Source organism: Homo sapiens, chromosome 12 (assembly GCF_000001405.40).
Source record: "Homo sapiens chromosome 12, GRCh38.p14 Primary Assembly".
Lineage (NCBI taxonomy): Eukaryota > Metazoa > Chordata > Mammalia > Primates > Hominidae > Homo > Homo sapiens.
In genome coordinates, this window is record NC_000012.12 from 107,760,215 (window position 1) to 107,786,450 (window position 26,236).

Consider the following 26,236-nt stretch of genomic DNA (forward strand, 5'->3'; position numbering starts at 1 on the left):
TTGGAATCCGGAAAAATATATTAAACGCTCAAATAACTGAAAGACACAGGAAAAGGTGTCAACAAGCCAACAATAAACGTGTGGCTACTGGGAACAACTTTCCACATGTGGAGTAAATTAGGATGCATGAGATTACATTCCACCCAACACTAGTTTCTGGATTTGTTTCCTTTGCAAATCACACCTGTAACCTTCTCAATGGCACCAAAAACAACGGCACTGACCCTGGACACTCACTCGCCAGAGTTTCCAACGATGTCACCAGTGCTGAAGCCCACCTCCCTACTCACCTGTGATGCATCGGCTTGGGGCCAAATATCAGAGAAAGGAGCGCTCGGGTGGTGGGGAACAGGCATCAGGGTTTGCGTTCCAGGGTCACGTGCTACCACATCTTGCTCACAACCGCTGCACCGACGCGGCCACTCGTCCCCGGGGTCGCCCGGGGCCGCCCAACTTCTCCCGAGGGCCGGTGGCCGTGCACCCCGCCACGGGTTGGGGCATCTCGGGGAACACCTGGGGCCTTCCGTCCAGAAGCTTCGGGAAGGGGGCTGCCCAACCTGGGGGAGTGGGGACAAGAGCGGTCACCAAAACCACAACAAGGTCGCAGCCCCCATCCCAGCTACCCGAAAGCCCCAGGCGCTGCCGACACCGCCACCCAAGGGCTGTGGATTAGCCCGCCCGCGGCCCGCAGGCCGGGCCGCCGCGCCCCGCCCCGCTCCGGCCGGGCCCGCGCGCAGCCCACCTGCCAGCTGCGCTGGGGGCGCACGCGCCTGCCCCACTGCTTTGTTCCTCATCCGGGCAGAGTTCGCCTCGGGGCCCTGCCCGTCCGCTCGGCCCCCTCACCCCGGGGGCCGCTGCCCTAACGTTTCCCGTCCCGCCCGGCCCTTCCCGGCCCGCGGCCTCCTCTGGGCCGCACCCTCTGCGGCGCGTTTCCGGATCCTCAGCCACTCTCAGCGCCCGCCGCTCCGCCCCTCGTGCGTGCGCCCTCCCCGCCGCGGCCCGCAAGCGGCGCCCGCGCACCGCGTCGCCCTTCTCCCAGCCCAGGCCCCTCCGCGCGTGCGCACGGCAGAGGCACTGGCCGCGAGAGGCTCGGCCGGGAGTTCCGCGTCTCCATCCGGCCGGGTAGAATCGAGCGCCGAGCGATCGGCCCATGGTTGCTAGGCGACCAGGGCTGCTGTTCCTGCAGGGATTGAGTTTTGAATCCCCTAAATCCCGCAGACTCAGGATTTCGTCTTCATGACATTCCCCTACTAGAGAAGCATGGGTCCACACAAAGCCCCCAAAATTCGAAGTATGGGATTTGGCCCCGAGGGTTGCCTCTGCTGCCCAGGAGGAATTGGGATTCTATCCTGAATATTTTCGGCCGTCTGCTACACCTGAAGGCTGCCCAGTTTCCCTGCTTCCCGTCGTAAATGCTGGGGTTTGGGATTTTAAACAAAATTTCCTTCCCCTTTTCTCTGCCCTCAGTTCTCTACTGCGCGCCAGGCACTGTGCCTAACGCTAGGAGTACCGAGATGGCTTTAAAGGAAGGTGGTCCCAAGCTCCTGAGCAGTAGACGTTGAAATTACACCACACTGCCTGGTGGCTCCCTTACACCAGCAGAACAGCAGACCCAGGAATTCTTCCTGTCATTCACAAAGCGTCTGTTGAATTACATCTCAAACCTAGGGATACAGAGCAAGGCACAAGCCCTGACCTTCACCTGCCTGCAGTCTAGTGGGAACTGATGAATTTTGAAAATTCAGTCTAATGTGAAAGGGTAGAGGCACATGCAACCTTTTGGACGAGAGCTGGGAGGGGTGTCAACCCCCATAATGTTTCCCTTCGTTTACTTCTCATGGGGGGAAAGCACATTCCAGATGAGGAAACTTCACTGAACATTGGCAGGCAGGTCACATTGGTTTTGCTCTCTGTTGACAACAAATAGAAATCTAAATCAAGAAGGTCATCATCTCAACTGAGAGACAGTATTCCCTGAAATGCCACTTCAAATCTGGAGCCTAGAGAATGATGATGTATCTTATTACCGGCCGAATGCTTTCACTAGGTTTGGGTTTGGATGTCTGTTCTTTTGGAACAATTTTATTAAGTTGAGAGGTGAACATAAAAATCAGGTCACATAAATGTAAGAGCTAAAACCATAATACTTACAGAGGAAAATAAAGGCAAAAATCTTTGTGACCTTGATAGGACAAAAAAATCACAAACTATTAAAAAATTGGAGCAAGTGCAGTGGCTCTCTCCTCAGCACTTTGGGAAGCTGAGGTAGGAGGATCGCTTGAGCCCAGGAGTTTGAGACCATCCTGGGCAACAAAGTGAGACCCTGTCTCTACAAAAAATAAAAAAAATTAGCTGGGCATGGTGGTATGCACGTGTAGCCCCAGCTACTTGGGAGGCTGAGACAGGAGGATAGCTTGTGCCCAGGAGTATGAGGTTGCAATGAGCTAAGATTGTGCCACTGCACTCCAGCTCAGGTGACAGAGAGAGACCCTATCTCAAAAAAAAAAATGACAAATCGAACTTCATCAAAATTAAAATGGTTGATCTTGAAAAGATACTGTCAACAAAATGAGTCAAGTGAGAGACTGGGAGAAAATATTTTCAAAACAAATATCTGACAAAGGATTTGTATCTTGACTATATAAAGAACCCTTTAAACACAATAATAAGAAGACAATTAAATTTAAAAACTTAGGCAAAAATTTCAACAGCCATTTCACCAAAGAAGCTATATGGATGGCGATTAAGCACACAAAAAGATGTGCAGCATCATTAGGTATCAAAGAAATGCAAATCAAAGCACAATGAAGTGATATTACACACTTACTAGAATGGCTTCAATTAAAAAGACCAACTATAACAAGTGTTGGCACAGATATGGAGCAACTGGCACCCTCACATTTTGTTGGTGGGAATGCAAAAAAAATGCCACAGCCATTTTAGAATTTCTTTCTTTTTTCTTTCTCTCTTTTTTTTTTTAGACAGAGTTTCACTGTCACCCAGGCTGGAGTGCTGTGCTGTGGTCTCAGCTCACTGCAGCCTCTGCCTGCTGGGTTCAAGTGATTCTCCTGCCTCAGCTTCCCCAGTAGCTGGGATTACAGGTGCTCACCAGCATGCCTGGCGAACTTTTGTATTTTTAGTAGAGATGGGGTTTCACCATGTTGGCCAAGCCGGTTGCGAACTCCTGACCTCAAGTGATCCACCTGCCTTAGCCTCCCAAAGTGCTGGGATTACAGGCATGAGCAACCATGCCTGGCCAGCAATTTCTTATACCTCTTATACCATCCAATTCTCCACACTCCTTAGGTATTTACCAAAGAAAAATAAAAACATATGTACAAAGACTTGTACGCCAATGTCCATAGCTGCGTTATCTGTCATAGGCCAGAACAGGAAATGACCCAAATGTCCATCAACTGGTAAATGAATAATGATAGTGTACAGTATCTATACAGTGGAATACTCAGAAATAAAAAGGAACAAGCTGTTGATACATGGATGGATCTCAAAGACGTATTATGCTAAGTGAAAGGAACCAGACACAATAGACTACATATTATGAGTCCAGGTATGAGAAATTCTAGAAAAGGCAAAACTGTAGTAATAGAAAGCAGAGAAGTGATTGTCAGAAGTTGGGAATGGGTTGGGGGATGAGATTGCCTACAGTGGGGGCATAAGAGAACTTTTAGGAGTGATGAAAATGGTCTTGATTGTGGTAGAGGTTACACAATTGTATACATCTGTCCAAATTAATCAAATAGTAAACTTGACATTGGTGAATTTTATTGTATGTAAAAATACCTCAAAAATTCAATTAAAAAATTATGTCAAGATTAACAAAAATTGAAGTGTTCTGACTCTACTCCCCAGACTAGGCCCACTGTATGCTCTCTCATAGTACCTATCTTTATTGTAATTAATTGTTTAATTTTCTATTTTGCCAAATACATTTTAAATTTTGGGGAGAAGATTCATGTCTATCTTATTTAATGCTATACAACATAGCACTATACCTGGCATATATTAGATATTCAATGAATTTCTGATGCCTGAGGGAAAGTCAAACTGGCATAATTTGAAGCCACACATATTGACTCATATATCTATTTACTTGGAGATGTACAGCAAATGTTTGCTCAAAGATTGCCTTAACTGCTGATTTAGGGTGACTTACCCCTTTAAGGAGACTCCATGGTGCTGTTAAGACAATAAAGACAATGGAAAGGCCAGACACAGTGGCTCACACCGGTAATCCTAGCACTTTGGGAAGCCAAGTCTGGTGGATTTCTTGAGTCCAGGAGTTCAAGATCAGCCTGAGCAACATGATGAAACCTTGTCTTTACAAAAATCAGCCCGGTATGATGGTACATGCCTGTGGTCCCAGCTACTTGGGAGGCTGAGGTAGAAGGATACTTTGAGCCTGGGAGGTTGATACTGCAGTGAGCTGTGATCAGGCCACAGCCACTGCACTCTGGCCTGGGCGACAGGGCAAGACACTTCCTCAAACAACAACAACAACAAAAATGGGAGAAACTGGCCAATCACACAGGTAGAAATGAAGAGCGTCGGTGTGGCAGAACAATGAGGATATGTTCTGAGGAATGCAACCTTAGGTGATTCTGTGGTTGTGCAAACATCATAGAGTGCCCTTACATATACCTAGATGGTCTAACCTACTACACCCCTAGGCTAGATGGTATGGCCTATAGCTCCTAGGCTACAAACCTGCACAGCATGTTACTGTACTGAATACTCCAGACAACTGTAACATCGTGGTATTTGTGTATCTAAACATATCTAAACATAGAAAAAGTACAGTAAAAATACAGATAAAAGATTAAAAAATGGTATGCCTGTATAGGGCAGCTTCATTATAATCTTATGGGACCACTCTTGTATATCCAGTCTGTCGTTGACCAAAACATCATTGTATGGCACAGGACTGTATTAGTATGACTGTGAAATAATGATGGAGAGTATAGTCAAGGGTAGAGCTTAGAGGTAATATCAGTGAAGACAACCAGATAACAACCACTAAGATTTTTCCTGGACATCAGGGATAGACACAGAGAGCAAATTACCTTTAAACATTATTTCCTAGCACTAAAGACGAGAACAGTAATGGGTAAACTTGGCCCCAGATTTAGCTGATCAGGGTATCTTACTTTTAACTGACCCTAATTAAGTTTTCAAATCTTGCTTCCTATTCCTTATGGTAAGGAGGATCTGGAAATAAAGACCTTTTATGTGGGTAAACCTGCTCTTTGGCATTCTTGGGATTCCTGCCCATAAGTTTGATACAATTATAATGTATAATGTAAGGACTGACCTCCTTTATTTAATATTTGCAGAGAGGCATAGAGTTTATTCTACAAATGTTTGTTGAGTGTCTACTCTGTGCCAGGCATTGCTCTAGGAACTGGGAGTATATAGTAAACAAAACAGGCAAAAAATACCAGTTCCTCTGGAGCTTACATTATAATGGAAGAAGATAGATAATAAAGAAATAAATAATTAAAATACACAATATTCCAGATAGCAATAAATAACATTAAAAAAAAGAATGGCTGGAAAAATGGACAGAAAATGCCTGGGGATGGGCCTGCAATTTTAATAGGGTAGACAGAGAAGTCATCACTCAAAAGGTGACATTTGAACCAAAGGAGAGGAGACAGTGATCCATGCAAACATCTAGAGGAAGAATATCTCAATCAGAAAGAAGGTCAAGAGCAAAGGCCCTGAGGCAGGACACTGCCTGGCAGATTTGAGAAATTGCAAGGACACCAGTGACTCTAGAACTGTATTGCCTAGTGTGGTAGCTGCTACCCACCTGTGGCTATGGAGCCCCTGACATGGGCCTAGTTTACATTGTGCAATTATTTTAGAGTGGGAAGTAAAATAGAGAGATTTTGTCAATAGCCCCAATTCTTCACTCCTCTCGGTAGCCAGCCTTTTTTCTCTTGGGAAGAAGTGGAGTCTATTTTTCTGCTCCTTGATTCTGAGTTTGCCATGTGGGACATATGCTTGAACTGAGCCGCGGTCAGGCCAAATCACTGATCCTCAGGCTCAAGAGCTAAATAAGTGCTTAGCATTTTATTGACGGCCATTCTGAGGAGGCTGCCCCCCTTATCTTGGCTACCTCTGAGTCTCTGCTCTGATCTTAGGAAACTGATACAGGGGTATAGAGGATTAAGCACTGGTACTTGGAACAGTATTTCTCTTAATGTCCCAAGTACTTTTTCAACTCCTCTAAAAGCTGTAGAATTACTTGTTTTCTAAATGCAGTGTATGTGGTAGTAGAACTGGGGTGATCTTGTGTGTTCTGTTAGCTCTTACGATTTTTTTCTTTTTTTGAGACAGAGTCTTGCTCTGTCGCCCAGGCTGGAGTACAGATGGCGTGATCTCGGCTCACTGCAACCTCTGACTCCTAGGCTCAAGCAGTCTTCCCACCTCAGCCTCCCGAGTAGCTGGGATTACAGGCATGCACCACCACACCCAGCTAATTTTTGTATGTTTTGTGGAGACGGGGTTTTACCATGTTGCCCAGGCTGGTCTTGAGTGATCCTTCTGCTTTGGCCTCCCAAAGTGCTGGGATTACAGGCATGAACCACCATACCCGACCAAGTCTTAGGACTTTAAAGGGTGAACACATATGGTTTCAAACTAATTCAGTTTCTCAGATCTGAAGGAACTGCTAATTTCTGTGAGGATCACGCAGAATGAATCTACACTCTACTCAGTCTTTTGAACAACACCCCTCTAACTAGACTGAGCAGAATCAGAAATCAAAGAGTGAGCAGAAATAAACACAACATCATCAACACCACAACACAGAAGACTTCTGTGACCAAATGTGGGGTGGTTTTCCCCACACACCAAGCAAGCAATCAGTTCTGCAACACACACCAACTGGGTACCCTCCAATTTAATTCCAACACTATCTACCTGGAGATAGCGTCAGATCCCACAGGTTGAGGGATCAGTCCCATCAGACTTCCCCCCAACCCTTCCTCATCAGACACCAGTCACAAGTCCAGGCCTGTGGAACTTCTGACCAATTGGCTTCAAATTGGGATTTCCATGACCCCCTCTTTGGGTCCCATTAATTTGCTAAAGTGGCTTACATAACTCAAGGAGACACTTAACTTACATTTACTGGTTTATTACAAAGGACATTACAAAGGATACAGATGAAGAGATGCACAGAGCATGGCACAGGGATGGGGTGCAGAGCTTCCATGCCCTCCCTGGGCGTGCCACCCTCCAGGAACCCTCAGGGGTTCAGCTATCCAGAAGCTCTCCAAACTCTGTCCTCTTGGGCCTTTAACGGAGACATTATTGGATAGGCATGACTGACTACCATGTAGAAATGTAATTGGCCCGAAAAGCATGTGATCGAATACTAATAAACTCAGTGGGGAAACCCAGCAAGGCCTGTCTGTTCACATTCTTCCTAGTCTCTTCCATGCAGCATTCCTTCCTCCAGCGGATGGGGCAGGACTCCTGAATTGAGGGTCTCATGACCCACAATTACAAAGGTGGTGGAAGATAAGAGTTCTGCTGTGGGCTGGTGAAAGAAGGGCAGGGGAAGTTCACAGAGACAGAGAGAGTTCTGTTTTCTGAGGCCTGCTTCTGAGTGCCCTAACATTATAACGAAAGACTGTAACAAGAGCTAAGGGAGTTATAAGCCAGGAACTGTGGACAAAACCCAATATATCATAATATCACAGAGGGGAAATGATTTGTAGGAGTTTAGCCAAAGAAATTTTAATGTTGATATCTCTGAATTTTAACCTAAAAGGATAAGGTTATTTAAGCTTTGGGTTTTAATTTATGCCTAGCAATTTGAGAATGAGGATTTTTTTTTAATTTGGAGGATTGTTCTATGGGTAATTTATTTGACTGCATAACCTCAGGCCAACTATACTGGAATGGCCTTCATTAGAAATAGCAAATAAAATCAGGAGTGAGTTTTTGGCCTGGGGTCCACCATATTTTGGGGTTAATTTAACAGATGTACTGTTCTGATTCATTTTAGAAGTTTAAGGGGCAAAAATTAAACTGCCTATCTGTGAGTCTAAGATGATAAACAAAGGAGCAGTAGTTGCCATTGAAGGAAGCTGGAAACTCAAGAAAGAAAGACAAGATCATTGTCTTTGTTAATGGCCTCCTAAAATTCCAACAGCAATGATAAAAGAAATGAAAAAGTAACTGAAAATTTACCTCCAAAGAAGGTCCATAGCCGGGCACAGTGGCTCACACCTGTCATCCCAACACTTGGGAGGCTGTGGCAGGTGGATCACCTGAGCTCAGGAGTTCGAGACTAACCTGAGCAACACATTGAAGCCTCATCTCTACAAAAAATATAAAAATTAATCGGGTGTGGTGGTACACGGTTGTGGTCCCAGCTACTCAGGAGGCTGGTCAATTGAACCCAGCAGGTTGAGGCTTTGGCGAGCCAGGATCATGCCACTGCACTCCAGCCTGGGTGACAGAGCAAGACTCTGTCTCAAAACAACAACAAAAAGTCCATATGCCATATGTTTTTTGTTTTAGCAACTCTCCAAAGAACAGATAATTTTCATCTTTTACAAATGGTTCCAACACCTAGAAACAGATGGAAAGCTGCTCAACTTATTTTTAAGAGTTTGAAATAATGCTGATACCAAAAAAGGAGAGCACAAGAAAATAAAACTATGAGCCAATATAACTGGGGACTATAAGAAAAAAATTTCTAAATAAAATATTAACAAATTGAATCCAGCAGTGTATAAAAGAATTATGACTCCATAGGATTTTATTCTAAGAATGCAAGGTGGCTCAATGTTAGAAAATCTATTATAGCAATTCACTACAATAACAAATAAAAAAAGAAAATACATGATTATAGATGTTAAAAAGAATTTGATAAAATTTAGTAGCTCTTTCTGAAAATAACAAACAAATTTCCTTAACTTGGTAAAGAATATCTACTAGATAGGGAAACATTAGAAGCTTTCTTATTAAAATACCAGGATGGGCTGGGTGTGATGGCTCACACACACCTGTAATCCCAGCACTTTGGGAGGCCCAGGCAGGTGGGTCATGAGGTCAAGAGATCGAGACCTTCCTGGCCAACATGCTGAAATCCTGTCTCTACTAAAAATACGAAAATTAACTGGGCATGGTGGTTCATGCCTGTAGTCCCAGCTACTCAGGAGGCTGAGCTGGGAGGATGGCTTGAGCCTCGGAGGCGGAGGGTGCAGTGAGCCGAGATTCTGCCAGTGCATTCCAGCCTGGGTGTCAGAGTGAGACCCCATCTCTCAAAAAAAAAAAAAAGTCATCTTGAGTGGGTGTTATTTCACAAGTGTATGCATGTATTCAAAGCTCATTAAGTTGTATATTTAACATCTGTGCATTTAATCTATGTAGATCTTATCATGATTAAAAACCTTTAGAACTAATAAGAGAGTTTAGCGAAATGACTAGATTAAAGATTAACATAAATCAGTAGCTTTGAATAACAGAAAAAAATCTTATTCACTATAGCAACAAAACCTATAAAACATCATGAAATAAGCATAATAAGATATGTTCAAGACCTACATGGAAAAATATTTGAAATTAATTAATTAATTAATTTTTATTTTTTGAGATGGAGTCTTGCTCTGTCACCAGGCTGGAGTGCAGTGGCGCGATCTTGGTTCACTGCAACCTCCGCCTCCTGGGTTGAAGTGATTCTCCTGCCTCAGCCTCCCGAGTAGCTGGGACCACAGGCACGCGCCACCATGCCCAGCTAATTTTTGTATGTTTGGTAGAGACGGGCTTTCACCATGTTGGCCAGGATGGTCTCCATCTCTTGACCTAGTGATCCGCCCGCCTTAGCCTCCCAAAGTGCTGGGATTACAGGCGTGAGCCATGGCACCTGGCCAAAATTTACCAAAAAACAAAAAAGAAGACCTGAAGAAGTGAGTTCTATTATGTGCATATATGGAGCTATGCAATGTTTTTTTTTTAAAAAAAGGTAATTCTCACCAAATTAATCTTTTAAATGGAGACAGGGTGTTGCTCTGTTGCCCAGGCTGGAGTGCTGTGGCATGATCACAGCTCACTGCAGCCTCGATCTCCAGGGCTCAATCAATCCACCCCCCTTAGCCTCCTGAGTTGTTGCGACCTCAGATGCATGCCATCATGCCTGACTATTTTTTGTATTTTTTTGTATTGATGGGGTCTCCCCATGTTGCTCAGGCTGGTCTTAAACTCCTGGGCTCAAGTGATCTGCCTGTATAAGCTTCCCAAAGTGTTGGAATTACAGGTATGAGCCACTGCACCTGGCCCAATTTCTTTCTATTTAACACAGCCTCAGTTAGAATCTCAAGTGGTAATTTCTTCCTCATGGATATTAAAAGTGCACGTTGTGTTCTTTTGTCTTCTTTTCCAAATTTGGGAAATCCTTGCCCAAAAGTTCTTCCAGATGAATTTTAGAGTCAGCCATTCATTCTCCAAGCCTTGAGTTTGGTGCCTCTTCATAATTCACACCAAGGTGTTATATAGACAAGAGGAGGCCTTGTAAAACTTGCGGTAGGAGAAGGTAGCCTTAAACAGGGGAGAAAAGACAAAAGCTAGAAGGAAAGGATTAAAATATACCTGCCCATCTGCCCCCTTTCATGAGCAGACCCAAATAGGACTACACAAACCCAGCCCAGTTACTCTTGGCAGGTTAGCATATGTGTTACGTGATCTAGCCAGCCTTAGGACAGCTTTAGGTTGGAGAGAATGTTTATCTGGGTCAAAACTGACTGGAGAGTAATCAGGAGTCAAAACTTCTTCTTTTGATCTCTTATGTAAAGAAGGTAACCCCCACCCCATACCCTGCACATCATGTGAGTAAAACAGTCCTATTCCTACTGGAAAAGCCACTTATTTTCAATGCTTTTGTTCTTTAGGAAAGGCTCTGTCAGCATTCTTTGTGACCATGCAGTTAGGTCATTATATTACTTGGATCCTATAAAAAGACCACTGTAGGATCAGGATTTGACCAGTTTTTTTTTTTTTTTTTTTTTGACGGAGTTTTGCTCTTGTCGCCCAGGCTGGAGTGCAATGGCATGATCTCAGCTCACCACAACCTCCGCCTCCTGGGTTCAAGTGATTCTCCTCCTGCCTCAGCCTCCCAAGTAGCTGGGATTACAGGCATGTACCACCACGCCCAGCTAATTTTGTATTTTTAGTAGAAACGGGGTTTCTCCATGTTGGTCAGGCTGGTCTTGAACTCCTGACCTCAGGTGATCCTCCTGCCTTGGCCTCCCAAAGTACTAGGATTACAGGCATGAGCCACCGCGCCCGGCCTTGACCAATTTTGATTGTGGTATTAGCAGTGAGAGAGAGAGAGAGAGAGAGAAAGTCTTGTAGATACTTCGTCCTCAGAGACAGAATTTACAAGGAGCCAGAAAACCTGGTCTAAGAGTTCTAATTTCTAATGGTAAATCTGTTGGTTTGGGCCAGATCAGGGGGTGTCATTTGAACTTTCTACACATTTTATCTTATTAAGTTTCACTGGGTTATAAAAATAAGAAAGTAATAGTGTTGGTATTAACAAGTTAAACAGTAGAAAGATTTATAAAGAAAAATGAACATCCCCCCTTCCTCCCCAATGCCACCCTTTCTTTTTAGGCAACCAATGCAAAAAACCATTTAGTATGTGTCTTTCTATTTCATTCTCCATGCTCACAGAAACACATATAAAGGACATACACATCATGTAGAATTGTTTTTATGTTCCTGCTGCATATGTTACTCTGCAATTTGCTTTTTTCACTTAAGACATTGTGGATATGTCTGCAAGTTCTTACGTACAGATTTTACTCATTATTTTTAATAATAGCATAATATTCTAAGATTTTTAACTCTTTTCCTATTGATGGACATTCAGGCTGTTCAGGCTGTTCCCTTTTTCTTCTTCTTCTTTATCTATTTATTTATTTTTTGAGACAGAGTCTCGCTCTGTCGCCCAGGCTATCTCAGCTCACTTCAACCTCTGCCTGCCAGGTTGAAGCAATTCTCCTGCCTCAGCCTCCCAAGTAGCTGGGACTACAGGCATGTGCCACCATGCCCAGCTAATTTTTTTGATTTTTAGTAGAGATGGGGTTTCATCATGCTGGTCAGGCAGGTCTTGAACTCCTGGCCTCATGATCCTCCCACCTCGGCTTCCCAAAGTGCTGAGATTACAGGCGTGAGCTACTGTGCCCAGCCTCGCCTTTTTTTTTTTTTTTTTGAGACTGGGTCTTGCTCTGTCACCCAGGCTGGAGTGCAGTGGCGTGATCTTGGCTCAGTACAACCTCCGCCTCCAGGATTCAAGTGATTCTCCTGTCTCAGCCTCCCAAGTAGCTGGGATTACAGGCACCTGCTACAACGCCTGACTAATTTTTTGTATTTTTAGTAGAGACAGGGTTTCGCCACGTTGGCTAGGCTGGTCTCGAACTCCTGACCTCAAGTGATCCACCCACTTTGGCCTCCCAAAGTGCTGGGATTACAGGCATAAGCCACCTTGCCTGGAGTCTTCGTTTTTTTAAATTGCTACAAATGTTGCAATAAAGATTATTGTACACATAAATAGGTATTGCTACATTTATTTTGGTAGGACAAAACGGCACAGATATCTGAATCAAAGGATGTGATGTGCACTATTAATTTTAACAGTTTGTTTAGCTGGGATGTGGAGGCACAAGCCTGTAGTCCTAGCTACTCAGGAGGCTGAGATAGGAGGATCCCTTGAGCCTGGGAGGCGGAGGTTGCAGTGAGCCGAGATCGCATCACTGCACCCCAGCCTGGGTGACAGTGAGACCTGTCTCAAAATAATAATAATAATAATAATAATAATAATAATAATAATTTTAATAGTTTCTTGAAGCAATTTATGCTCCCACCCTTTCCTCAAATCCTTGCCTCCCCTGAATCTTAGCAATCTTTTAAACTTTTGCCAATCTGAGAAGGAGAAATGGCATCTCAACTGTTCTTCCTTTTGCTCTCTTCCAATCTAGTCCTCAATCTGCAGACACAGTTATCTTTTTTGAAACACAAATCTTCAAATGTCACCTCCCTGCTTAAAATATTTCATTATCTTCCTGTCACTCTTAAAAGTTAAAATCTTTGACATGGCCAAAAAGCACCTTGTGGTATAACAGCCTACCTGCCTGAGTGGTGGACTTTTCTCCTAATAGAAAGGGCTTTCTCAATTCTACTGAGAAATTGTGATGATATATTAGGCTATTTGCCAGTACAAACCTCATCAGGAGCTACAACTTTTAATTTTTCTTTCTTCTTTTTAAAAGATGGGGGTCTTGCTATGTTGGCCAGGTTGGTCTTGAACTCTTGGCCTCAAGCAATCCACCCGCCTTGGCCTCCCAAAGTGCTGGGAATACAACCTTGAGCCACTGCACCCAGCCAAGCTACACCTTTAAAAATGTGACTAACTTATACCCGAAAGGAATAATTATTTCTATTTTATTTGCCTTGTTTTTTGAGTTGCTTCAGGCGGATCATTTAGAACAAACAGGGAAGAACAGGACTTGCCAAACTAAAAAGAAAAACATGTTAGGGCAGCACCTTGTCTGCTGAGGAATAGGCAAAAGCTCTCATCATAAATGTAGGGGGTTTTTGCTTCTCTTGTTTTTAAGTAGGACTTTTAAAGTAGAAGACACCTTTAATGTACTGGTTTGCAGAAGAGGAAATCTGATTTTCAGTGTGATAACATATTCTTTGACGTTAACCAGTACAGTTGGATTTTTAATGACACTTTAATCTTCAAAGGTTTACCAACACGGATGGATTAATTATTCATTTTGGAGGGGTTGTGTCTTAAAAAGACAAGTCTTCAAAGACATCATCCTTTCTCCTTGGAACTTGGAGTCTCCACCTTTCAAATGTTGCTTTCCTGCCCCCAAGAGAGAAAATAAATGACATTTTTTAAAGAAGAAGAATCCAATGGAAAAACACTCTTTGCGCTATGGAAAGATGATGTCCTTATATCCTGGGTGAGATTAGAAGAGGAGGCTGGGAAGCAGTATTTAAGCTGTGTTTACAGTAAGCACTGTGAGAAATAACCGGCTAAGCGCGTTTGTTATTGTTCAGTCTTTTGATGTGCTTTTAAAAAGTCGCATCTCCATAAAACACCCTCAACAACCATAAAACAACATATGTTGGAACATAATATGCAGACCCTTATATTCTTTGCTACAGTCTGTATTTTTCCTATACCCTTCAAACATGCCTCATTGAGTTTTTAAAAGATTCGGTTTGGAAGAAGAAAAACCTCAAGCCTCGCCCCGGGTCTTCCTTGACTTGACACATTTTATAACCGCAAGAGAGCAGTTTTTCCTTTGATGAGGCTAAGACCCCAGAAATGAAAGAGCAAGTTTAAGTTTGCAAACACTCTAAAAGCTCCTTCCATTAGACCTGGTCGCGGGAAACCACAAAGGACAGTCAAGTGATTTTCAAGGAGAAAGCCTCTGGTCCACTTTCCCTCCGCCGCCAGATCTGCAGGTTCCTGGGAGGAGCTCTTCTCAAATCCTGAAGATTGCTAGGCTCTTGGCGAACGACTCATCTCTTGAAGACCTAGAGTGGTGGATTACAGGCATTGAAAAGCTTTTGGTGGCTTTGGAAGATGACTCTGGTGTGAGCTCACCTTTCCAGGCTGGGGGACCAGGCAGAGGAACCCCCTTTGTTATCTTCTGAAAGAAGATCAGTGGGGAAGACGGGGTTTGAAGTGTGGATTAGGAGATCCTACGTCTTTGCCTACCACCTCTGCCTAAATCATAAAAAGATCGAGGAGTGCAATGAACTTCAGGAATCATGCACCGTTTCCCTGAAGCCTGTCCAGGAACCTAACTTCTGGACCCAGAAACTTCTGCAAAGACAGACCCACTGAGCCAGGCAGTCTGCACCAGCACCTCTGCTTCTAAGATTCTGTTTCGTCTTCTTCTATTGAGAGATTGACCTCTTGAGTGATTTGTGTGCTTTCCGGCAAATGATGGAGACGCGTAAACCGGCGGAACGGCTGGCCTTGCCATACTCGCTGCGCACCGCGCCCCTGGGCGTTCCGGGGACCCTGCCCGGACTCCCGCGGAGGGACCCCCTCAGGGTCGCCCTGCGTCTGGACGCCGCGTGCTGGGAGTGGGCGCGCAGCGGCTGCGCACGGGGATGGCAGTACTTGCCCGTGCCGCTGGACAGCGCCTTCGAGCCCGCCTTCCTCCGCAAGCGCAACGAGCGCGAGCGGCAGCGGGTGCGCTGCGTGAACGAGGGCTATGCGCGCCTCCGAGACCACCTGCCCCGGGAGCTGGCAGACAAGCGCCTCAGCAAAGTGGAGACGCTCCGCGCTGCCATCGACTACATCAAGCACCTGCAGGAGCTGCTGGAGCGCCAGGCCTGGGGGCTCGAGGGCGCGGCCGGCGCCGTCCCCCAGCGCAGGGCGGAATGCAACAGCGACGGGGAGTCCAAGGCCTCTTCGGCGCCTTCGCCCAGCAGCGAGCCCGAGGAGGGGGGCAGCTAGCGAGCGCCCGAACTGGCCAGGACCCCCGCGCCCGCCGCACAGCGCGCAGCCGGGCGCTCAACCTAAGGTCCTCTTCGAAGGTGGTTTGCATTCTTAATCTGGCATCTTCTCCAGGCCTAAATCTTAAGAAAAAGAAATGGGTGCTGGGGTTTGGGGGATGGGGGAGTTGTTTTGACATTTGGGAATTTCTCCCCTGCCCTTATTGGTTACGTGCCTGCAACTTATAGGTGCTTATTAAGGAGACTCTTTTCCTATACTTCTAAAATGCAAACTGTTTCAGATTCTGAGCACCTCATTGTAAATACGATTATTCTAAAAACTCAAAGGGCGAGAACAACTGGAATTTCCCACCTTCCGTGGTGTGGGTAAATGGTATACATAAACATTAAACCTTAACCAAAGAAGAACTTTACCGCCACCAAAACAGAAACAACCCCAAACAGCCAAAAACAGTCCTTAAAAATGAGAGGAACATTTTCTTGCATTCCTTCCTTCGGGAATTGTATTCAAAATGTAATGGAAAGTAATTGTTGACCTCCTGCTTTGGGTGAAGGAGACTGTAAGCTGGTACTTGAGAACGAATTTGCCAGCATGTGCTGTTGTTGACTGTGTGAATGATGGTGCCAGGGAATCCGTGGCTTGGTACACACTGTTTCATCCAGTGGCCACGTGGAAGCTTTGTAGCATTGAGCAGATAGTAAAATATCTTAGAATTAATGATCTCTTTGGAAGAGAGCCCAGATTTGTATGAAAACTTGTTTTTCCTCTCAATTGTTTTGTCCACTGTTTTCTTCATTTTCCTTTTCTCTGCATACCCCCCGCCCCCCAACGTGTAGCTCTCCATCTAAGTTTTGGATAAACTGAAGTGGCACTGTGACTTTAAAAATAAAAAAGAAATCTACTTGGAAGTCCTTTTTGCGGGTTGAGCCAGATGGGGGAAAGATATGGGACAAGACGGATGGATTGAAGTTGGTACATTCTCAAATATTTTTATCACCATTAGGGCTTCCAGGTACAGTATATGGAAATGATGTAGTGACTTTGGCCATGTTAAAAGCCTTTTTAAAATATTGAATTTGGGTCATTTTTTTTCTAAGAAACAATTTTGAGTTCAGTAGATAAGTTAAATGCCTGCTGATGTATGAAGATCAACTTCCCTAAGATTGTTTTCTAATATGCCGAATTATCCTTTCCATGGAGGCAGCTTTGGTTTGTGGGGGAAGAAGGAGGGGAAATGGAAATGGACAAAGAGAACTAACAGTGGAAGTGCATCCTCCAGGTAGATTTCACTTAGATTTTATTACCCCCTTTTACAGTTGTAGCAACTAAGGCAGGCTATATCTTCAGTGGACATCTTTTATGTGCTAGGAATTTTGTTGTGGCTTTTTACATTTTGTCCTATTTAATTGTCATAAATTTGTGGGGTGGGTATGACAAATATTTTGTGATTAAAAAAAATATGAAGCTCAAAGAGGTTACATACCTTGACCAGTTTAGTGTTGCTAGGATTCCTTGAGCTGAGATCAAGTCCCGAGCCTGAACCCAAAGCCAAGGATTTCTTTCTCCCTTACCATGCTGTCTCTTGCTCTGTCATTTGCTAGCAGAGCAAATGTTGCTTCAACTCAGTTTTCTCACCTGTACAGAAATGTTTACAGAAGTGTATGTGAAAGACCTTGGTAATCTGCAAGGCACTAACCAATGATAAATTAGTAGTTTTATTATTTTGGGGAAAATACTATTTCTCAGTTTATGGAGAGTAAAGCCTGGTTAAGAATAAAATCTCTAGGTGGAGTTGGTATGATTTCTTCAGTGTTTCAAAAGAGGGACAGAGTGACCACACTCTCTTACCTCCTCTGGTAATGTTCTAGGATACATGCTTTGAACACTGAATCCATGTTAAAACATAGAATTGGCTGGGTGCAGTGGCTCACCCTGTAATCCCAGCACATTGGGAGGCAAAGGTAGATGGATCGCTTGAGCTCAGGAGTTTGAGACCAGCCCAGGTACTGGAAACCTTAACGTGGTTTTATTTAAAGCCCTGTTGAGAATGAGGCAATGATTTTGAGAAACCTTTTGGAAAAATAAAAATAAAACCATCTCTCAGCTGGGTGTGGTGGATCATGCGTGTAGTCCCAGCGCTTTGGGAGGCCAAGGTAGGAGGATTACTTGAGGCCAAGAGCATGAGACCAGCCCTTGGCAACATATAGAAACCTTGTACCTACAAAAATTAAAAAAATGTATCCGGGCTTGGTGGCACGCCTCTGTAGTCCCAACTGCTCAGGAGGGCGAGGTTGGAGGTTTCCTTGCACCCAGGTGTTTGAGGCTGCCGTAAGCCATGATCGTGCCTCTGCCTGCACTCCAGCCTGGGCAACAGAGTAAGACTACTATTTAAAAAAATAGTAATAATTAAATGAACTCCTTCCGCAATCATATAACTTTTTAAAAGAAGAAATCTTGCAGTTTTTCTGAGACCTTCCCCATGACTTACAGGAGGAGCACCAATCCGGGAATGAGACCTTTAAAAAGGTTTGACCTCTTTTCCGGCGAATGATCACTTCATTAACCCTAGAACAATTTGACTTTCAAAAGGAACAAAATAAATTTCCAGTGAATTTTGTGGAAGCAAGAATGGAGGGGAGTTTTATGGCAATGAAGCATTCATAAAAGGAGAAAGATTTTCATGTCCTTCAACATCTTCCCTTTTTTTATTTTTCCCACTCAGCCCAGACATATCCCTTGATCACACTTGATTGCTTTTAGAATACTCCCTGTGGTTGGCAACCTGAGTAATTGCTGCGACACCCCATCCCACCCCACCCCACCCCGAGCGTGCAAAGCAGGAGCTGCGTTGGGATGTGGCAGAGCGTGCCCTGGCCCTGGGGCTGGATCCAGCTCTTGCCACTCACTGACTTGGTGACTTTGAGCAAGTCCCTAACTGTTGTGTTCTCAGTTTTCTATGCTAGAACACATGAAGAGTGTCACATTATCTTTTAGACTCTTCCAGCTGGAAAATATCATGCATCCGACCTGTGCAAAGTCCGAGCTGAGGGAAGCAAATGTAATAAGACATGCCCACTTCCTGCCACACAGCACGGTGCTTTCTGTTCCTGTATTTCCCTCTTCCCACTAGAATGATCCAGCCCTGGGGCTGCGGCCTACTTTTTTTTTTCTTGCTGTTACCACGCCCAGTTAAAACAAAACAGCACAAAAAATCACCAAAAGCTTTATAAGTTTTTTATGGAATGGAACTTGAAGACTCTTTACAAGCTGGTAGGGAAATAGACCGGTTTTACCTCAATATGAGGAAAAAGGTATAAATGGTATAACTGATATCCAAAATGGAAGATATGCTATGAGGAACCAAAGAAAAGAGGGATTTGGTCCAGCCTCAAGTGAGAAGGGAGCAAGAAGGAAAGGCTTTGGTGGATGCAGTGTTTAGTAGGTAAGAATGGAACGAGAACTCCAGGCAGAGGGAATAAGAGGAACAAAGTTGCTGCAAAGACAGGAACTGTTTGGAGAGCGCAGAGAGGCTGAGTAATAGGAGACTGCATACAATGGCTGAGGCAGCTCTAGGGACATTGAAAGCCAGGCTAAAACAGCTTGGAGTTTATTTTTTAACCAATGGGGAACTACTGAAAAAAAAATTGAGGGAGGGTTTTGGAGAAGGTACGTGGTTAAGGATCATGGTACTCCGGTGGTAGGAAGCAGCGGACCAATAGGGTATTGCCATAATTAAGGGAGAGGAAACAAAGTAGGGGCCTGAACTCTGACAGTATCATTGGGAATGTGAAGGGAGGGATGGATTGACAAGTGGAACTGATAGGTCTTGGCAACTCAGAGGAGGGGGAGGGGATGAGGAAGAGGGAGAAGTTAAAGACAACTGTGGTTGAAATTGAGAACACAGAAAGAGAAGTGGATTTAAAATGTAAGAGTCTTGTTTTGGAGACGCTGAATGTAAAATACTGGTAGGCTACTCCTGCCCACAAGCAACTGAAAATGCTGAGGTTGAGGTAAAGAGAAAAGTCAAGCGTAGCTGTTTCTTTAAGAGCCACACACTTATGGGGAGTTATAGAAGTAGGTATGATCTCCACAGGAGAATGTTGATGAGAAAAAGAGAAGAATTGGGCATGGTGGCTCACACCTGTAATCCCAGCACTTTGGGAGCCTGAGGTAGGAGGATCACTTGAGCCAGGAGTTCAAGACCAGCCTGTGAAACATAAGGAGACTCCCCGCTGTCTACAAAAAATTAGCCAGGCAGGGTGGTGCATGCCTGTGGTCCTAGCTACTCGGGAGGCTGAGGTGGGAGGATCACCTGAGCCCAGGAGGTCGAGGCTGCAATAAGCCATGATCACACCACTGCATTCCAGCCTGGGCAACAGAGTGACACTGTGTCTCAAAAAATACATATAAATAAATAAATAAAGAGAAGAAAGCAGGGACAGGCCTGCGTTGAAGGTGTGTCAGAAGAAGAAATGTCTTTGAAGAGAGCTGAGAAATAGGAGCCAGAGAAGTTGGAAAGAGAATCAAGCTGGTATGAAATTGTGGCAATTAAATGAGGATATAATTGTATAAGAAAGAGGGAATGAGTGACAGCATCCTATGAATCAGAGGTGTCAGATGGTTGAAGTATGAGGGGATCTTATTGGGTTGAGCCCTTCACTCTGGCCCCAGTTTCTCTGCAATGTGCTGCGTGAGGCAGGGCCTGGATTGCTGTCCTGACTTTAGCACTGTCTATTGCTAGAGACCTCTGTAAGAGCAGAAATAGCACAGTGGATTGAAGAAATGAGAAGTGGAAGTCAACTTGAAGACTGCCTTTTCTGGATACTTCACAGTGAAGGGAGAAAGAGAGCTGGGCTGGTGTGACCCAAATGGAGGAAAAGATGGGATACCAAAGATACTTCTGAGCCTGAGGTCTTACAGGTAAACAGGTCTAGCTGATTCAGAGGCTCAGAGGTGACAAGGCTTCAAGGAGTCTGAAATTAGGTGGAGGTGAAGGTCTTAGGAATTGGAGAGATTAAATAACTGGGAGGGCAGAGGGTTGGAAGGTAATGCACTAAAACTAAGGTAGGTTTTTAAGTCATTGAAGAAGATGGAGCTGGTTCTGCCATTTGCAGACAGTGGAGATGAAAATGAGATGAGGGTTGTATGAAAAGTATACCTGTGTGGGTTTAATATTGTTCCTTGGGTGCTAACTAGTTTCAAAAGCATTAAGTTATCAGTTTTTAATGACTTGGTTAAAAAAATGAGACAGATCTTCTCCATAATGGCACATTTTAAATGATATTCATATTTATTTAGTAGTGTAAGGTTTTGTAACTATAAATATCTCCAGAAAGTTCTGCAGTGTTTATTTATTTATTTACTCATTTATTTATTTTTGAGACAGAGTTTCACTCTGTCACCCAGGCTAGAGTGCAGTGGCATGATCTCAGCTCACTGCAACCTCCGCCTCCTGGGTTCAAGCATTTCTCCCACCTCAGCCTCCTGAGTAGCTGGGACTACAGGTGCCCACCACCACACCCAGCTAATTTTTGTATTTTGGTAGAGATGGGGGTTTCGCTGTGTTAGCCAGGCTGGTCTCAAACTCCTGATCTCAAGTGATCCACCTGCCTCGACCTTCCAAAGTGCTGGGATTACAGGTATGAGCCACCACACCTGGCCTAGTGTTTATTATATGAGACTGTGATAATATATGCCACACACCTTGCCCAAGAATCTGGCAGCAAATAATAGGTGCTCAATAATTCATTTATTTCCTTTTGTCTGTGGCTTCTGGGGTAAAAAAATACACTGCTTATGTACAAAAACATCAACAAAGAAACCAATACGGAGTAAATGCAATAGATTAAAGGCTAGAGAGAAATAAATAGTACCTTACTTTCTTTCCTTTGTGGAATTTCTGGGGATGGGGGAAGAAGAATAAAAACTTGTCAAAGAAGAACAGGGTTTGGAGGAGAGTAGAACTGAGATGCCCTTCGGTCATCTAGATCTGAAGATATGGGGTCTGTGCCTTTCACAGAGCAGTTTTGGATCTGTGGGCAACAGAACTTCAAGCCTGGACCCTGGGACTTAATTCCTGTCCTCCTGACTCCAAGTGCTATAAGCCTGCAATGGACTGTATGTTTGTCCCCCTCCACCGCAAATGTGTATGTTGAAATCCTAACCCCCAATGTGATGGGGTCTTTGGGAGGTGATTAGGTCATGAGGTCATGGGGCTGGAGCCCTCATGAGTGGGATTAGTGCCCTTAAAAGGGACCCCTAGAGAGTTCTCTCATCCTCTTTGTGACATCTAAGGATACAATGAAAAGTCAGCAGTCTGCAACCCAGAGAAGGCCCCTCACCAGAACCCAGCCATCATCTTGGCATCCTAATATTGGACTTCCAGCTTCCAGAACTGTGAGAAATAAATGGCTGTTTAAGCTGCCTAGTCTACAGTACTTTGCTATAGCAGTCCAAAGGGACTATCACAAAGCCTTAAACTGAACTTGAGAGCCAAGTCAAATCAGGCTGGGGAAGGTATCTCTAGGCTGTGTCAGCATTCTCCAGCTATAATCAGTTAAGAGGTTTCAGAAGGGTGTGCATGCCAAAAGCTTTCTGAGCTGTTTCTGTCTAGACAAAGGTTTTCTTCAAAGCTTTCAAAGTTATCGTCATCATCTCCAAAAATGGTTAACAATCCCATTTTTCACCCTAGGAATGAAACTTTTGATAGCAATGTTGACCCACGGAAACCTTCTCACAGTGATCACTGTAAAGGCAGACTGTACCCCTAGGCGAGCTCTTTTGACCCTTCTGTCAACCATTGCCAGCTCTTTCATCTCCACATCAAGACAGACAGGCTGCTGGGAGAGGGCAGACAGCCTGAAGGGGCTTTATATTTTCTTTATTGGACCATGAAACCATAGCACTGTCTCTAGCTCTTTGATTATTGTCGCTAAGTTGTGTATGTGTGTTTTACTCACAGGCTGTCTGGGTGGTGAGATTGGTTTTTTAATCCTTTCATAGCTATTTAGCTGCGTCCTTTGGTGAAGAACTGTCAGTGGCCTTTTCATGTTGGGTTACTCACTGTCATGGACCATGGCCGAAATGAAACCTCAGATGCTGCAGAGGGAAGTGTGTCCGGATGAGAAAACTCTCCAAACCAGTTTCTGCCCACAGAGCAGGCCTTGAGGGGGCCATTTCTGAAGTTGTTTCTCATCTCCCTGACCATGAAAAAAAATATCTGAAGGAGGAATCCTATCTCAGAGTCACAGGACTAGAGAGGGCTTTGGGAAATGACCTCCTTTGATCCTGGGAATTTTAGAGAAATAAGGGTTAAACTGTGCAGGACAGAAGCATATCTGTTCTTTCTTAAAAGACCACCAAACACAGATTCTCCCATCAGGTAACATTTCCTGAGGGCCTATTATAAGGCAGGCTAGTCCTTTATTTTTTTTAAACTTTTTAATTTTTTTAATACTTTTTAATTTTTTTTATTTTTGAGACAGAGTCTCGTTCTGTCACTCAGGCTGGAGTGCAGTGCCGCAATCATGCTCACTGCAGCCTTAATTTCCCAGGCTCAAGCACTTCTCCCACCTCAGCCTCCCAAGTAGCTGGGACTACAGCTGCATGCCACCATGCCTGGTGAATTTTTTATATTTTTTTGTAGGGTCTTGTTATGTTGCCCAGGCTGGTCTCAAACTCCTGGGCCTGAACTCTTGGGCTCAAGTGATCCTCCCATCACGGCTTCCCAAAGTGTTGGGATTACAGGTGTGAGCCACTGTGCCCCATTCCCCCCACTTTTTTTTTTGAAAGTTACTCTGTTACTCAGGCTGTAGTGTAGATGGCACGGTCACAGCTCACTGCAGCCTCCACCTCCTGGGCTTAAGTGATCCTCCGCCTCAGCTTCCTGAGTAGCTGGAACCACCGGCATGCACCACCATGTCTGGCTAGTTTTTAAGATTTCTTTTTTTTTGTAGAGACAAGCTCTCCCTGTGTTGTCCAGGCTGGTCTCAAGCTCCTGAACTCAAGTGATCCTCCCACCTCGGGTTTTCAAAGTGCTAGGATTATGGGCATGAGCCACTGCACCAAGCCTGGCCCTTGTAAATACTATTCCCATCTGATCTTCACAACCATCCTACAAGCCATGTATTCTATTTCACTTCCATTTTAAAGTTGAGGAAACTGAGACTTAGAGAGGTTGAGACACATCACACAGGTTAAGTGGTAGTAAACCACATCTTGTTGCAAAACCTGTGCTCTAAGCCTCTATTATGTCATTCATTTGGGCTTCCTCCATCTGTCTGTCCATTCGTCAATCAGCAAATAGTTACTGATTGCTTATAGGAAGCTTAATGATAATGGCTAAAAAGAAAAATAGAGGATTTTTGTTGTTTAATGACTTTTAATCCTTACTTTCCACCAACATCTGTTTCCTGTCTCTGTTCTGAGGCTCAGTGCTGACCACATTCAAATGACTAGACAACTTTCAGTTGTAATCAAGCATATTTTAAGATTGACATTAAGTCTCCCTGTAAGCTCTTCTTATTTGAGACCTATAGTTGTCATACAGCTTAGTATCCACACAATAAAATGAGGTACAGGTGGAATAAAGTGGATTTGGGGTCCTGGTTGCTTGGGGAATTCTTGTTAACCCCCATTCATATTCACAGCAACTGAGGTTGATTCAGAACATTTCCTGATATATTTCTGGTTTGACATCTGAAGGGAGGGCAAAGTGTTCTCTCCAGAAAGCTCATGACTATAGTTAACCTTGACAAAGTAGAAAGGACCTGGGTTCCAGTCCTGATATTACCCCCTTAAGGGCTATGTTTCCTTGGCAAGTGACATGACCTCTCTGAACCTATTTCCCCATTTGTCAAGTAGAACACCTATTCCATCTCATAGGGTTGTGGTAAAAGTGAAATTAGGTTACATAAATAAAAGAGCTCTATAAAGAGCTGTTATCACTATGAACTCATGTGCAAACAAATTCTCTAATGGAAGTTTGAGATAGCTTTGCAGAGAAAATACAACTACAGTACTCTGGCATGTAGAAAAATTCAAAGCAATATGGTCAGTCATGTTGATTAAATCTTTAATTATAGTAACGTAGAAGATTATTTAATGTTGTGTAACAAGCTACCCCAAAACTTACAAAAATGATTTATTATTCCTCCCAAGTCTGTGTTAACTGGTGGTCCATTGGCTTGTGTCCCCTGGGCTCATGTCTCTAGTGACAGAATGCAACTGAAATGGCTGCATGGTCCAAGATGGCCTATCTTACATGGCTCATGGTTGGCCTTCTCTCTATATGTGGTCATTCATCCTCAAGGAGTTCTGGGCTTCTTTCCACAATGATCTCAGAGTAGCAGGAGGGCAAGAAAGAAGGCTGCGAGGCCTTTTAAGACCAAGGCTCAGCTGGGCACGGTGGCTCACGCCTGTAATCCCAGCACTTTGGGAGGCCGAGGCAGGCGGATCATGAGCAGGAGATCGAGACCATCCTGGCTAACATGGTGAAACCCCGTCTCTACTAAAATAGAAAAAATTAGCCGGGCATGGTGGCAGGTGCCTGTGGTCTCAGCTACTCGGGAGGCTGAGGCAGGAGAATGGCATGAACCCAGGAGGTGGAGCTTGCAGTGAGCCAAGATCGCACCACTGCACTCCAGCCTGGGTGACAGTGTGAGACTCCATCTCAAAAAAAAAAAAGACCAAGGCTCAGGAGTCACATAATGTCTGCCTTCTTTTGGTCAGAGCAAGGGACAAAGCTACCTAAATTCAAAAGGCAGGACAATAGACTCTCCCTCTTGATAGGGAAGGCCACAAAGTAACATTGCAAAGAAGCATCCAAAATAGGAGAAAATGTGACCCCATTGGCAAATGATCTACCATAAGTCCTTTGTGTATGAGGTGTCATTCTTTGTTTCAAAATAATATATTTTTAAATAATTTCAAACTTACACTAAAGTTGCCAGAACAGTACAGAGAACGATCATCTCCCATTTACCCACATTCCCTAATTGTTCATTTTACTTCTTTTCTTCTTTGCCCTCTCTCTATAAGTAAGTACTAATTATCATAAGTTGTTTGGGAATTTTTATCTTTTTTTGAAATTACAATTAGATATTAGAGACAGGGAGTCTCACTATGTTGCCTAGACTGGTCTGGAACTCCTGGCTTCCCAAAGTGCTGGGATTATAGGCATGAGCCACCATGCTTGGCCTGTTTCTGAATTTTTATTTATTTACTTTTATTTTTTGAGACACAGTCTCACTCTGTTGTCCAGGGAGGAGTCCAGTGGTGCGATCTCAGGTCACTGCAGCCTCCATCTCCCAGGTTCAAGCAATTTTCGTGTCTCAGCCTCCCAATAGCTGGGATTATAGGCGAGCACCACCATGCCTGGCTAATTTTTGTATTTTTAGTGGAGATGGGGTTTCATCATGTTGCCCAGGCTGGTCTTGAACTCCTGGCCTCTAGTGATCCTCCCTCGTTGTCCTCCCAAAGTGCTGGGATTACAGGTGTGAGCCACTGTGCCCAGCCTGTCATGTCTTTTCAAATTTCTTCAATCTGAAACAGTTTGTCATCATCCTTTCCCTGTCTTTCATTTCCTTGACAGTTTTAAGCATGCAGGCCTTACATTCTGTAGGACAACCCTCAACTCAGGTCCATCTGATGTTCACTCATTCATGGCAGGAACATTGCAGAGATGGCGATGTGCTCCTCTCAGTGCTTCACACC

At 44.3% G+C, this 26,236-nt stretch overlaps 2 protein-coding genes across 3 annotated transcripts in view, besides 3 other annotated features; one reads left to right on the forward strand and one right to left on the reverse strand.

Annotated features, from left to right (window-relative positions):
• The window catches only part of PRDM4 (PR/SET domain 4), a 28,267-nt gene extending 27,344 nt beyond the window's left edge, over window positions 1–923 (reverse strand). For both annotated transcript variants that reach the window (NM_012406.4, XM_005268593.2), the window contains exons 1-2: window positions 743–923; window positions 291–557 (exon numbers count right to left, since the gene is read on the reverse strand). In NM_012406.4, coding sequence (NP_036538.3) covers window positions 291–301 — 11 coding nt within the window. In that variant the 5' untranslated portion in view covers window positions 302–557; window positions 743–923. The remainder of the gene's footprint in view (window positions 1–290; window positions 558–742) is intronic.
• Window positions 474–583: a silencer, noted in NCBI's record as "silent region_4822". NCBI's record gives its function as "represses an Ori minimal core promoter by ATAC-STARR-seq in GM12878 lymphoblastoid cells {active_cell/tissue: GM12878}" and the evidence as "EXISTENCE:reporter gene assay evidence [ECO:0000049][PMID:35858748]".
• Window positions 634–1,213: a silencer, noted in NCBI's record as "silent region_4823". NCBI's record gives its function as "represses an Ori minimal core promoter by ATAC-STARR-seq in GM12878 lymphoblastoid cells {active_cell/tissue: GM12878}" and the evidence as "EXISTENCE:reporter gene assay evidence [ECO:0000049][PMID:35858748]".
• ASCL4 (achaete-scute family bHLH transcription factor 4) lies at window positions 14,490–16,430 on the forward strand. Its single transcript, NM_203436.3, has one exon. It carries the CDS (start codon window positions 15,005–15,007, stop codon window positions 15,521–15,523), a length of 519 nt encoding a protein of 172 aa, NP_982260.3. The 5' UTR covers window positions 14,490–15,004; the 3' UTR covers window positions 15,524–16,430.
• Window positions 23,405–23,614: an enhancer, noted in NCBI's record as "active region_6956". NCBI's record gives its function as "activates an Ori minimal core promoter by ATAC-STARR-seq in GM12878 lymphoblastoid cells {active_cell/tissue: GM12878}" and the evidence as "EXISTENCE:reporter gene assay evidence [ECO:0000049][PMID:35858748]".

Bases quoted from the DNA above. Each gene is read 5' to 3' on its own strand.
- ASCL4 (NM_203436.3), top strand. From the start codon at position 15,005: ATGGAGACGCGTAAACCGGCGGAACGGCTGGCCTTGCCATACTCGCTG.